The following is a 15,317-nucleotide window of genomic DNA, read 5'->3' on the forward strand; positions in this document are numbered from 1 at the left end:
GTATACGTCTTGCTAGGCCCATTTATTTGGTCTATAGTGTTGTGAAAGTTTGATGTTTCCTTATTGATTATCTGTCTTCGTTGTCGAAAACAGGGTATTGAAGTCTCCTACAAACTGAGCTCAAAGTTAGCAGAAGGAAGAAGATAATAAAGATTAGAACAGAAATAAATAGAAAATAGAAAAACAATAGAAAAAATTAACAAACTGAGTTGGTTTCCTGAAAAGTTAAACAAAATTGGCAAACCTTAGCTAGACTAAGAAAAAAAGAGAAAAGACTCAAAAAAAAAAAAAAAAAATCAGAAACGAGGAGACATTACAACTAATACAACTAAAATAAAGAGATCACAGGACTACTATGAACAATTAAACATCAACAAATTAGATAACCTAGGTGAAATGTATAAATTCTTAGAAACATATAATCTACCAAGACTGAATTATAAAGAAATAAATTGACCAAAGTAGTTTGACATGCAAAAATAGATAAATAAAATAAAGAAACAGAAAAATCTGGACAGACCAATAAAAATGAGAAGACCGAATCAGTAATCAAAATCTGGCCAACAAAGAAAAGTCCAAGACCGTATGGTTTCACTTAGGAATTCTACCAAATATTTAAAGAATAATTAAAATCAATTCTTCTTAAATTATTCCAAAATATCAAAGAAGAGGGAACGCTTCCTAAACTCATTTTATGAGGTCAGCATTACCCTGATACCAAAGCCAGACAAAGGCACTACCAAAAACGAAACAGAACAAAACAAAACAAAAACCCTACAGGTAAATGTCTCAGATGAACATAGATGCAAAAACCCTTAATAAAATAATACCAAATCAAACTCAACAGCACATTAAAAGGATCGTATATCAAGACCAAGTGGGAGTTGTCCCTGGCATGCAAGAATGGCTCAACATATGCAAATCAATTAATGTAACAGAACCCATTTAGAGGATAAAGCATAAATATCACATGTTCATCTCAAGAGATGCAGAAAAAAGCATTTGACAAAATTCAACACTCTTCATAATAAAAACTCTCAACAAATAGGTATAGAAAAAATTTACCTCAACAAAATAAAAATTATGTAAGATATGTTAATTAGTACAAATATGTTGATTCTTTCACGATATATACATATATCAAAACATCAAGTTGTACACCTTAAATATACAAAATTTTATGTTAATGATATCTCAATGAAGTTGAGATATATCAATTATATCAAACCAAAAATAGAAGTCACATATGAAAATCCCAGAGTTAACATTATACTCACTGATGAAAAACAAAAACCTTTTTCTCTAAGACCAGAAACAAAACAAGGATGTCCTCTCTCAGCACTTCTACTCAACATAGTTCTAGAAGTCCTAGACAGAGCAATTAGGCAAGAAAAAGAAATAAAAGGCAGCCAACTGATAAGGAAGAAGTAAGATTATCTGTCTGGAGATGACATGACCTTATAGTAGAAAACCATAAAAACTCCACACACGAAATATTGTTAGAACTAATAAACTCACTGAAGTTGCAGGATACAATATCATCATACAAAATCAGTTGTGTTTCTAACAACAAACTATCCAAAAAGGAAATTAGGAAAACAATCTTATTTATAGTAACAACAAATAGAATAAAACACTTAGAAATAAACTTAACCAAGGAGGCAAAAGTCTCCTTGGACAAAGAAAACTACAACACATTGATTTAAAAAAAAATTAAAGTATACAAATAAATGGAAAGATGCTACATGTTTATGGATTGGAAGACTTGTTACTGCTAAATTGCCCCTACTAAATAAAGCAATCTACAGATTCAACACTATCTCCATCAAAATCCCAATGACATTTTTTACAGACATAGAAAATCCTAAAATTAATATGGAACCACAAAATCCCTGAGTAGCCAAAGCAATCAAAGAAGAACAAAGTTGGAGGCCTCATACTTCCTGATTTCAAAATATATTACAAAGTTATAGTAAACAAAATTGTATGCTACTGACATGCAGACAGAAATAAAGACCAATGGAACAGAATAAATAGCCCAGAAATAAACACACACATTTACAGTCAATTGCTCTTTGACAAGGGTGCCAAGACTACACAATGAGGAAAGGACAATCTCTTCAACAAATAGTACTGGGAAAACTAGATACCTACATGCAGAAAAAAATGAAATTGTTCCTTATCTTATACCGTACATAAAAGTAAAGTCAAAATGGATTAATGATTTATACTTAAGACCTGAAATTATTTTACTAGGAAAAACCTTCATGACATTGATCTCGGCAATTATTTCTTGGATTTGACACCAAATGCATAGTCAGCAAAAACAAAACCAAGCAAATGGGACTATATCAAACCAAAAAGGATTAAGAAAAACCATCACACAGTGAAAAGGCAACCTATGAAATGGGAGAAGATATTCACAAACCATACATTTGTTAAGGGGTTAATATCCAAAACACATAGGGAAATCATATGACGCAAGAGCAAGAAAACAATCCAATTAAAAAATAAGTAAAGGATTGAACAGACATTTCTCCACAGAAGACATACATGTGAACCACAAGCACGTTTTTAAAAAATCGACATCACTAATCATCAGGGAAATGCAAATCAAAACCACAATAAGAACCTCACATCTATTACGATGGCTATTATCAAAAAACAAAAGGTAAGTGTTGGCAAATATGTGGGGAAAAGAGAACACTTGTACACTGTTAATTTTTGGTGGGAATGTAAAATGGTGCAACCACTAGGGAAAACAATATGGAACTTCTTCAAAAAATTAATAATAGAACTACCATATGATCCAGCAATCCCACTTCTAAGTATACCATCAAAGGAAATAAAATCAGAATGTTGAAGAAATATCAGCACCCCCATGTTCATTGCAGCATTGTTCACAATAGCCAAGATAAGGAATCAACCTAAGTGTCCATCAACAGATCAACCAATAAAGAAAATGTAATAATGCATACAATAGAATATTATTCAGCCTTAAAAAGGCAGAAATCCTGGTCAGGCATGCAGGTTTATGTCTGTAATCCCACCACTTTGGGAGGCCAAGGCGGGTGGATTACTTGAGTCCAGGAGTTCGAGACCAGCCTGAGCAACATAGTGAGACCTTATCTCCACAAAAAAAAAAAAAAAAAAAAAAAAAAAATCAAAAAATTAGCCAGGTGTGGTGGTGCACCCGTTTAGTCTCAACTACTCAGGAGGCTGATGGGGGAGGATCACTTAAGCCTGGGAGGTCAACGCTGCAGCAAACTGTGATTATGCCACTGCACTCCAGCCCGGGTGACAGAGTGAAACTCTGTCTCCAGAAAAGAAAAGGAAAAAAGAAAAGAGAGGAGAGGAGAGGAGGGGAGGGGAGGGGAGGGGAGGGGAGGGGAGAGGAGGGGAGAGGAGGGGAGAGGAGGGGAGAGGAGGGGAGAGGAGGGGAGAGGAGGGGAGAGGAGAAGAGAAGAAAAGAAAGAGAGTAAGAAAGGAATCCTACCACGTGCCACAACATGGATGAGCCTGAAGGACATTATGTTAAGTGACATGTTAGTTGCAGAAGGACAAGCACTGCATGATTCCACTTATATAAAGTATCTAAAATGGTCAAACTCAGAAACAGAGAGTAGAATGGTGGCTTTTAGGGGCTGTGGGGGAGGGGGAAACGTGAAGTTGCTGTTGATTGGGTATAAAGTTAAACCAGATGAGTAAGTTTAGAGATCTGCTGTCCAACACTGCGCCTATAGTTAACATACTGTGTTATGCAATCACAAATTTGTTAAGAGAGTTTACCTCATGTCAAGTGTTCTTACCACAATAAAAATATAAATATGTAAGTAAAAGTAAAATGAAGAAAGATAAAACATTCTTGAGACCCATATTAATTAATTGAGATTAACTGAGAACAATACATAACTAAAAGAGTTTCAAGGTCAAAGGAAAAAGAAAAAAGAAAAAGGGAAGTGTGCTTAGCCTCTAAGTTTTAGAGTTTAACAAACACATTGATAATTTCTCCAATTACTTCTAGAATTGTTCTAATTATGAATATAGATTTAGAACAAAGAATGATCTAAAGTTGAGGAACTTTGGGATTAAGTGAAACCTGGATTTGATTATAGCTTTGCCACTTACTGGCTGTATAGCCTCAGGCAGGTCCCCTACATTCCCTGACTTTAGTTCTCTAATACATTTTCTCAAACTTGAAACATCTACTTACCTAGTCCTACCGTAGTCTGTTGTGAGCGTTAATGAGTTTATGTGGGGGGAAACATCTGTCATGATCCATACATTCATCGATGCCGAATTCAGTGGCAGCTACAATTAAGAAGGCATCCAACGTAGGAAGGAGGATATAAATTCTGGAGACACCGAGGAAGGCAAGTGCTCAATACATGTTTTCTTGGAAGGTTCTAGGTATGAATCTCTACTGAGGACTTTGTCTAGACCAGGATGAGAGGCAAAAGCAATGAACCCCAAACCCCACTCTGCCACCCACTCACAATGCAGGCTTGAAGCTAGTCTATTTTCCTAGGCAGAGACAATGTCTTAATCATCTTTTGAATCCTGATGACTATTAATTGGCAGTTTTAATAAATTATATCCATGTAGCAGCAGTAGTTAATAGGGGTAGTAGTAATGGTAGTCATAGTGACTCCGATTTGCTTTTCTAAGCAATATGCTGACTTGCCCTGGCAGCACCATCCAAAAACCACACCTGAGAAACAGTGCAATTTCCTGGCTTCTAAAAATTCTAAACACAATCTCTTTATCTACCTGTATTAATCTGTTTTCTGTTGCTTATAACACAATACCTGAAACTTGGTAATTTATAAGAAAGGGGATTTATTCTTTACAGTTATGGAGGCTGAGAAGTCCAAGGTCAAGAGCTGCATCCAGTGAGAGCCTCCTGGTTGGTGGGAAGTCTCTACAGAGTCCCGAGGCAGCGCAGGGCCTCACATGGTTGGGGGGGCTTAGCATGTCCCTCTGATCTCTCTTCCTCTTCTTATAAAGCCACCGGTCCTACTCCCATGACAACCCACTAATCCACAAATGGATTAATGCATTCAGGAGGGCAGAGCTCTCACGACCTAATCATCTCTCAAATGCACCACCTTTCCGTGCTACCACATTATGGATTAAATTTCAACGTGACTTTTGGAGGGGACAGATATTCAAAGCATAGCACTGTCCAATTGGAAAAGAATGTGAGAACACACACACTTCGCCTCTTTAAGTCTGACTTGTCAAAACCCTTACAGCCAGATGTTCAGGGCTACCTAAAATAGCTCCTGATGACGAGCCCAGCAGTGAAGCGGCTTTGGAAATTGTCAGGTTGCCCAGCAAAGAGATTCCTTCAGTCATGGCAAAAGCCCAGTGTTGTTCTCAACCCTTCATCTTGAAATGATTACCTTCCAAGACTCCTAAGTCATGCTAATGAGTTCTTTTTCTGAACGATCTCTATCCTTCAGATCACTGAGCTCTGAAGTCAGGCTCACCCTGAGAACTGTGGATCTTATCATGGTTTCAGTGGGGCTCAAAAAAAAAAAAATGGACCTGTAAAAGAGATAGCAAAAATGGCAAATGACACTATCAAAACTACTTTTCACATTTCAAAGGATGAAAAGCCAGGAGATTTTTCTCACCTCCACATCTCTGTAAAATCTTTGGTCATGTTAAGAGAAAAAAAAAGTAATAACTTTTTAAGGATATTTTTTCTCTGTGACAGCATCTACATAAAACATTAATAACAGCATCTACTTAAAACAAAGAGCAAAGACAGATCGATGTTTGGCTTTGTCTGTGAACATTTGTTAAAAAATGCGAGTAGATCAGCATTATGATAGCGAGGCAGGAAGGCAGGCACGGATTGGGAATTGGAGTTATCTAGTTCTTGACCCAGACAAACCTGAGACCCATTTTATCAAGTCAGTGAGGCAAAGTACTCCTCACTCAGGTGTGCTACCTTTGGTCAGAACCCCCCCACCATGAGAATGTCAGAACTGCAGAGTCCCCTGGCAGTATACTTTATTTTAAAAATTGATTCATTTCTGAAAGTGGAGCTCGACTGTCTCCTGACCTGCTGTCTGTCCTGGTCCTACTTACAGTGTGGTACTAGTTGTTTCTAAAATGCTCCCATTCTAGGGCAACAAAATGACTAGGTAGAGTGGCTCTACAGTAAGGCTCTCTGGCCCCTTAAGTCCAGCCTCCAACAGGCACAGCTGTTTCTTCAGATGTCTAATGCTGATGCCCCTAATGTGGCCTTGAGGATAGACCACAGCTCTTTTTGTATACACAGGGTCCACCCTGGTCCCTCTTGTAACAAGAATAAAACTCAAATACACCCACATGGAGGCTGCAGGACCCCACAGCTCCTGCCCCTGCTGTTGGCTGCTTGCTGCTCTTCCCAGTGAAAATCAAAGTAACTGGGGTGTTGTTGGCCCCATATCTGCCTCCATTTCTCAGGAGTGGCTCACCAACAAGAGCAGAACACTCCATGGCTCCTCTGTGTCCCTAAGTCCTACCCCTTGGTCTCGGCCAGGCCAAAGGCAAGTTTCCTGCCCTACAGCTAACACTCTCCCCTAGCAACACTCATTCCCTTCCATGAAAAACTCCATGCCCCCTCACACTAGGGGGCCTATTCCCTTCCATGGAAAATTCCATCTCTTCTCACACCAGGGTGTGCACTTGTCCTCAGGACCCCACACAACCATCACAGAATTAGCATCATTAGAATATATTGCCATGCATATACATGATCACGTTGTTACAAGACTTACCTGAAAGACCAAAATGTAAAACATAAAAGTACAGTTTCTTTGGAAGAAGAAAGAGGGGTGTCCTCCTCCCTGAGCCCTTTATCTCACAGCAGCACCTACATGGGCCATGACATGCTTCTTAAAAACCACTGATTTGAGCTCAAATTCTTCATTTTGCTGGTGGAGAAACTGAGACCCAGAGAGGAAAAGGACACCCCAAGAATGCACAGTGGGTTAGTGACAAAGCTGGTGTGGCAGATGGATAGCATTTTCCAAAGCCAGCCACTTCAATACAATCCCATCCCACACACCCTTCCTATAATGTGACATCAACACTCCTCCTCTGGAAGAAGGGCCTATGTTCCCAACCCAGGGAAACAAGAGACCTATGCTCGGTAAGACTAACGCTTGAAACCAGTGATTCTCAACAGGGAACAATGTTCCCTCTCCCTTAGGAGACTTTCAGGAATGTCCAGAGACATTTTGTCATCTACTGTCATTTAATGGGTAGAGGTCAGGGATACTATTATATGGCCTGCAGTGCCCAAGAAAGCCCCACCACAAAGGGGCCGGGCGCGGTGGCTCGCGCCTGTAATCCCAGCACTTTGGGAGGCCAAGGCGGGCAGATCACGAGGTCAGGAGTTGGAGACCAGCCCGGCCAATACGGTGAAACTCCGTCTCTACTAAAACTTCAAAAACTAGCCGGGCGTGGCAGAGGGCACCTATAGTCCCAGCTACTCGGGGGACTGAGGCAGAAGAATCGCTTGAACTCGGGAGGCGGAGGTTGCAGTGAGCTGAGATCGTGCCACTGCACTCCAGCCTGGGTGATAGAGCAAGACTCCATCTCCAAAAAAAAAAAAAAAAAGGGAATTGCCCAGCTCCAGTATTAATCGTGCCGAGGCTGAGAAGCCCTGCTTTATATGGTAGCAAAGGATGGGAGAAAACCTCAAGCAGAAGCACGAGGATTCAGGAAGAACATGGATTTCTCCCGGGTGGTTAAGGGACTCATGTTTTTTTCCCAAGCAACAAATGAGCATGTCTCATCCTCCTGCTTCTGAAGGTGAGAACAATGTATCTACACAGCGGCTTTTCCACTAGAAGTGGGGATTTAGAGCAACAAAGATGTCATGAAAACATAATCAAGAAAAAAGTCAAGTGTATTGATTACATCTTTGTCCCTGAAGACTTCGTGGAGTAAATAAACAGGCAAACTTGGATGAATATTCACACAAATTAATATTTGACTGAATTTTTCTGTCTACTTGCTCAGGATGGCTCTCTAAAATGAATTTCCACTTTGAAGAATTATCTATTTTAAGGCTCTGGAGATATTTTCTCATTACTTTCCAAAACTTTTAGCAGATGAAACCCCCTCTAGCAGTCTGTGAGAGTACCAGCCTCATGGCTTTTGCCAGTATTTTTATATTATCTTTAATCTTTGCTTATTTACCAAGAAAAATACTCGCCTTGCTGTTTTAATTGACTTTAATAAGATTAAGCTTGCTTTATTTATTGGCCATTTGTATTTATTCTTCAGTGAAGTTCCTGTTCAGGTCTTTTGCTCATTACTTATTGGAGTTTTAATGTTTTCTTATTGATTGGTGTGAACATTTTGACATATTAAGTACATGACTCCTTTACCATATCACTATAAATATTTTCTAATTTCGCATTTCTTTTGAATTTTTTATGATGTTTCTGTAGTATTGAAGATTTTTAAAAAAATTTTATCTAGTCAAATCCATTTAATTCTTTGAAATTTCTCCAATAGAGAGGGAGCTGCTCCTTAAATCATCAGGCATTTTCCTATTTTAACCTCGGTTTTGTGTTTATAGTTTTATAAAAATATAATCACAGAAATATTTAAACAGTCTCAATACAACGTGTTAAGGGAAATAATAAATATACTGGGAGTCATGGAGAATTGAAAATATTATGATAGTGACATTCCTCATCTGCGAATAAGTATATTTTCCCATTTTATGTTTATCTTATGTACTCAGTAGAACTTTTAAATTAAAAACAATTATCAACATCAAAGGCATACAAAAGAGCTTAAAGAATAACACAGGCCAGGCGCAGAGGCTCATGCCTGTAACCCCAACACTTTGAGAGGCTGAGGCAAGTGGATCACTTCGAGCTCAGGAGTTCGAGACCAGCCTGGGAACATGCAGAAACCCTGTCTCTACAAAAATACAAAAATCAGCCAGGCATTGGTGGCTCGCACCTGTAGTTCAAGCTACTTGGGAGGCTGGAGAACTGCTTAAGCCTGGGAAAATGGAGGCCACAGTGAGCTGAGATCGCACTGCTGCACTCCAGCCTGGGCAACAGCTGGAAACCCTGACTCAAAACAAACAACAACAACAAAAAAGAATAACACAGAAAATTCTTCTGTATCTTAGCTTTAAGAAGTAAAATAAGGATGGGCGTGGTGGCTCACACCTGTAATCCCAACACTTTGGGAAGCCAAGGTGAGCAGATCACCTGAGATCAGGAGTTTGAGACCAGCCTGGCCAACATGGTGAAACACTGTCTCTACTAAAAATACAAAAATTAGCTGGGCGTGGTGGCAGGTGCCTGTAATCCCAGCTACTGGGGAAGCTGAGGCAGAATCACTTGAACCTGGGAGGCAGAGGTTGCAGTGAGCCAAGACAACACTATTGCACTCCAGCCTGGGCAACAAGAGTGAAACTCCTTCTCAAAAAAAAAAAAAAATAAAAAATAAAACAATACCAGTACAGGGGAAGGCATCTGTTTCTATTTTTTGGCTGTATCCCCCGCATCCTATCATGAGTAACCACAATCTTGAATTTGTGCTTATCACTTCCATGCATTTTTTTTCTTTTACTACTTAAATATATATTACTAAGCAAAATGTACTTTCTCATGTTATACACAGAAATATACATACACGTGCACATATATAGACACATACATATAACATTGTCTTCCTTTGTGACTTACTCTTTTTTACCTAATATTAAGTTTGTGAGAGTCATCCATTTGATGCAGATAACACCAATACATTCTTTCTCACTGACTCATTTTATGTGTTTTGATATATCATCGTGTTAATCGGCATTCAGGCTTTGCACACAATGCTGCTGTTAATATTCTTGGACCTATCTCTCTAAAATATTTTGCAAGCATTAGTCAAAATGTCAAGAAGTTATGTTTAGAACCAGACCTCAATGATTTTATAGTTCATTGTGGATAAAACACTAGGAAAATTGGAAAAAATCTTATGAATAATGAGGAAGACTAACACCAGATATGAAAATATGTTATAAAGTTACAATGATCAGAACAACTTGATGTTGGTTCAGGAATAGACAGAGCAACAGAATAGCTCCAAAAACTCAAACATACATTCAAGTCCATATGAAAATTTAAGCAATGTTAAAGGAAATGTTTTAAACCAATACAAAAAAGATAATGTAATCAACAGTGTTGTGACAATAGGCCAGACATTTGATAAAACTAAACTGGATTACTACCTTATTCCTGTATAAAAATTAATTAAAACTAGATTGAAGATAAAAACACATGGAAAGAAGAAGGGAGGGAGGGAAGGAAGGAAGGATGGAAGGAAGGATGGAAAGAAGGAAGGATGGAAGGAGGGGGGGAGGGAAGGAAAGAAGGAGGGAAGGAAGGAAGGAAGGATGGGAGGGAGGAAATATCAAGGAAAAAATAATGTATTTATAATCACACAATGAGGAAAAAATTTTAAGCAACTTATATAGACAAGAAGTCACAAAGAAATACAGCAACAAATTACATTTGATAAAAATGAATAACTATAATATAGGGGAACTATAACATGTTATATATTATATAATAGGAGAAAAATAAATATAGTTCTATATAATATAACTATAATAGGGGAAAAACATAAACAAAACCAAAAGACAAATAAAGATCTGTGTGGGAAAAGATTTACAAGTCATATCACAGACACAAGGATAATTTCCTTAATAGACAAATAGCTCTTACAAATATGGAAAACCTTATATCCACATGAGAAAGCCAAGTAATAGATCTCAAGCACCACATATGGATAGAATTAAATGTTCAATAACCATGTAAAGATGCTCAACTGAACTCAGAGTGAAAAAATCCCAATAAATCCTTTCTCACTTGTCAGAATGGCAAGGATTTCATGATGAACAATACCCAGTGTTGGTTGAGGGGATATCAGAAAGCTACTGGTAGAATGTAATTTGACAGAAACTATCTACATTAAAATGCACACACTCTTCAAATCGGCAATTCTACTTTAAGCAATTTATTGTATTGGTGAACTGGACAACCACACAAAATTATTTCTACAAAAATGTTCATAGTGCCTTTTTGGTAATAGCAAAAACCCTGAAATAACCTAAATTATTTTTGGTAAGTGATGAGATGAACAGTACAACTGAATACTATGGAGTATTCTTTTAAATGACAATACAACAATGATCTATTGTTAAATGTAAAAAGCAAGCTGAGATCAACACATGTGCTGCAGATCCATTCTCCACTCTGGTACCCTGCCCCCTGCCCTGCATCTTAGAGACAGGTCTGTGTCAACCTGCCCTCTGGCCTCCTGTTGGAATCAGCCGCTTGGATGCCCCAGAAGCACATCAGAGAAAGTGAAGGAAAGAGATCCAAGTGTTTATTTCACTGGCTCCCTCACTGCAAGGCTGTCTCATGCTGGCTGTGTGCCCCCAACCAAAAAGCAACATTCATCTCTGCAGAACATTCTCCTTATCATTCCAGTAACTATTCCTTCCTCTCATTCCTTCAGACTTAGGGCTACACACAGCTCTGCTGCCACAAGCCCCAATTTCCTACTCAATCTTTTGTGAGTCCCCAAAATCCCTTGTAACCAACTAAACTGCCTTTAAATTATCCTAATTCCAACATGCCATTTGTTTCCTATTGGGATCCTGATATATTATGTGTAGTATGATGCCATTTATGTGATCCCCCCAAAATTTATACACACACACACACACACACACATATACACACAGAAAAAGCCCAGAAGGATACACAGAAAACGGTATCCTTACATAGTCCTTGCCTCTAGGAATGAAGTTGGTTGGTAAAAATTGGAAACAATGAATGTTTTACATTTTACTTTGTATGAATTTGTGCTAATTGAAGTTTTTCAAACAAAATGAACACGTTTTTACTTTTAAAATACAGAGAGATATTTAAAGATAGAGAATTACAAATCTGCCCCTCCACCTTTAGTCTCCAAACAATTATTTGAGGCAGAGTGACTTTGAAGAGCCATACCTTTTCAAAATAAGCACCTCTATTTGAACAACTCCTGCTCTAATAACTACCTCTATTAGGCACACGAGCCCTTGAGCCTTGTAGCCTGTTCCAGCTGCTCTCCTCCACTCCACACAGACAGTAGAAGTTGAAAAGATAGGAGTGTTTGCTTTGTCTTATCTGATACAAAAGTTTTGAAGTTTGGCATTGAAAACCCAGAAGTCTGATCATGGAATATCTAACATATCCACAACAACAAAAAAGTCCGTTGAGCAGAATAGGACCTAGTGTTTCTCAGAATCAATGGCAAACCATGCAAACCAGTGTGCCCTTTCTGCTGATAACGTGCCGTTTTAGTCATGCTAATTTGAAGGAGGCTGAAATCTAAAGGATATAAGGGAAATCCGCCTATATAAAATTTTTGTGAAGGTGTCTCTCCCAGGGTTTGACTTGGACTGGGACTTGGCGACAGAAATACAAGTTGTGTTCCAATAACATCAGAGGCTGATTCTTGGCTGTCTAGTAAGCCCAAGTCCCATCTGAAGTCTGAGGTGATTTCCATGTCACTGCGGCATTGAGCTATCAGCTACCTTCATCATTGCTGACTGAGCCCATAGTCGAGTGCCTGGAGACCTTCCTTCAAAATGCCCCTCACCATAAAGTGGGCTGGCAGAATATCTCTGGCTGCCAGTACAATACTGATGTTCAAGGCCAACAGCTGTGCAGGCACTGTCTGTCTGAATGCCTCTCTTGCAACTTCATTTCTTCTCAGTCTGTTTCATGGAGGAATGGAGCAATATTTCACAACAGCTCAGAGTTTTCAACTGGAGCAGCTAGGATTGTTGCATCATAATTCAAACAAGCAAGAATGACACTAAACAATCATATTTATGGTATATGACCAAATTATACAGACACACTTCTATGTTTGTCCATCAAGATGTTTCTCTCTTCTATATGTTGTTTCAAGGCTTACACCACTGGGATCCTGTATTAGTCCATTTTCACACTGCTATAAAGAACTACCTGAGACTGGGTCATTTTTAAAGAAAAGAGGTTAAATTGACTCACAGTTCCATATGGCTGGGGAGGCCTCAGGAAACTTACAATCATGGCGGAAGGTGAAGAGGAAGCAAGGCACGTCTTACATGGCAGCAGGAAAGAGTGGGGAACTGCTACATACTTTTAAACCATCAGATCTTGTGAGAACTCACTCACTATCACAAGAACAGCATGGGGGAAACTGCCCCCATAATCCAATCACCTCCCACCAGGTCCCTCCCTCAACTCGTGGGGATTATAATTCAAGATGAGATGGGGGCACAGAGACAAACTATATCAGATCCTGATATTCCACTCATATACAGTTCAACAGTTCAGTTCAACAAATTTCCTTGGAATGAATCCTCTGTGTCAGTCATTTGCTGGGCACTGAGAATAGAGTGACAAATGAGACACCATGCTTTCCATCGAAGAGATTATTGTTCAGTTGGGAACACAGAAAAGCAAGCAAGTAAATGCAGCCTATTGTGTTTCATGTAATATAGGGAGATGTGAACTACTGATGTAATAATGAAGCATGGGATTCATTTAGGATGGGAAGGGAAACCCAAGAAGGCTTCTTTCTTTTCTTTCTTTCTTTTTTTTTCTTTTTTTTTTTGAGATGGGGTCTCGCTCTGTTGCCTAGGCTAGAGTGCAGTGGCACAATCTCAGCTCACTGCAACCTCCACCTCAAGGGTTCAAGTGATTCTCCTGCCTCAGCCTCCTGAGTAGCTGGGGTTATAGGCACGCACCACCACACCTGGCTAATTTTTGTATTTTTAGTAGAGACGGGGTTTCACCATATTGGTCAGGCTGGTCTCGAACTCCTGACCTTGTGATCTGCCCGCCTCAGCCTCCCAAAATGCTGGGATTACAGGCATGAGCCACCACGCCTGGCCCAAGAAGGCTTCTTCTAAGAAGGAGGTCTCTGAATCATGATTTTGAAGGTTACACAGGCGTTTTCAAAGTATACTAGAGGAGAAAAGGCATTTTGGATGTAGGGCCAAGCATATGCAAAGCCCCAAGGTGTGGTAGGACTTGCTGAGGTTTAATGCTCAGAGCACAGGGTGTCAGTAGATAATTTGTGTTCCATAACACAGAGTTGAATTTTATCCTGCAGGCAATGGGAAGTCCTAGAAAGGTTTCAAGCAAGGAAGTAACAAGGTCAAATGTCAGTTTCCCTATGGTGGCTGGTATGGGAATTGACTTAATGGGGGTATCAGTATTACTATTATAAACATAATGGGCATATCAATAAAGCTAGCACAACAGAGGTCTCCCTAGTAGCTCCTTCTTTTACTGCTAGAAATAAATAACATTTTGTCCTGCATCCATCCTTTCTTCGAGAAAGTTCAAAGAAACTTGTTGACTTTGTCACTTTAATCTTTTTCAACATCTCTGAGAGAGAAGGTGAGAAAGGAAGCGCTTCCATTTGGCACTCGCAAAGACTTTTCAGCCTGGTGTGCATGGATTAAGCACAAAGACGACTTTGATCTCCGTCAGTTTCACCCACTGTCTTCTGGGGAAAAGGACCCTATCTCTGAACCTCCTGGATTGAGATAGAATTTGAAGATCTAGATCTGAGATGCAGACTGCCAGTCTGTAGTGAAACACTTCCACATAATGTGCTTGGCACTGTAAAAAAATTTCGACTGTACAGAAGAAAATATAAAAACAGACATAAAAATCAGTAGTTGGTCCATAACACAGATGACGACTTTTATCATTTGGATGTATTTCTTTCTGGTCTTCTTGATCACATAACAAAATCGGGATCAAAGACAATATACAATTTTATATACCAGTAAATTTCAATCCTCCTGGAGGTGAAGTGAGACATGAGAAAATGTGCATCACGTAAGGGGTAAAAAAAGCAGAATGAACTGCAATTTGATATGATGATCAAGCTCTGCAAAATAGAAAACTGAGTGAAGGTCATCTCCACCATCACTTTTCTAATCTCCCCTCAAGTAGGAAAAGTGCAATGCAGTTTTAAGTTGCTGGACTGACTAGGTGACCTCAGAATCCTCTCCAAATCCTGGAAAATCTGACTATAAAACTCTGTAAAATGATAAAGTACCAGATTAATCTCAAAGGCTTTAACTCTGACCAAGCTTGGTTCTTCTGAAAAGTAGGAGTATGAAATTTCATCCCAGACTGGGATGAAATAAGAAACCTATCTGAGCCACTAACTAGTCGTGTGGGCTTCATCCAAACAATTAACTATTCTCAGCCTCAGTTTCACCACCTACAAAGCAG

At 39.1% G+C, this 15,317-nt stretch overlaps 1 protein-coding gene across 2 annotated transcripts in view, besides 1 other annotated feature; it reads right to left on the reverse strand.

Annotated features, from left to right (window-relative positions):
- The window catches only part of NBAS (NBAS subunit of NRZ tethering complex), a 782,426-nt gene that overhangs the window by 285,116 nt on the left and 481,993 nt on the right, over nt 1-15,317 (reverse strand). The gene's annotated exons all lie outside the window — the stretch shown is intronic.
- Nucleotides 8,915-9,071: a silencer, noted in NCBI's record as "fragment chr2:15213063-15213219 (GRCh37/hg19 assembly coordinates)". NCBI's record gives its function as "represses an EF-1alpha promoter that drives an FKBP-Casp9 reporter gene in an ReSE screen in phorbol 12-myristate 13-acetate-treated (for megakaryocytic differentiation) K562 erythroleukemia cells {active_cell/tissue: K562(+PMA)}" and the evidence as "EXISTENCE:reporter gene assay evidence [ECO:0000049][PMID:32094911]".

Source organism: Homo sapiens, chromosome 2, assembly GCF_000001405.40.
Source record: "Homo sapiens chromosome 2, GRCh38.p14 Primary Assembly".
NCBI lineage: Eukaryota > Metazoa > Chordata > Mammalia > Primates > Hominidae > Homo > Homo sapiens.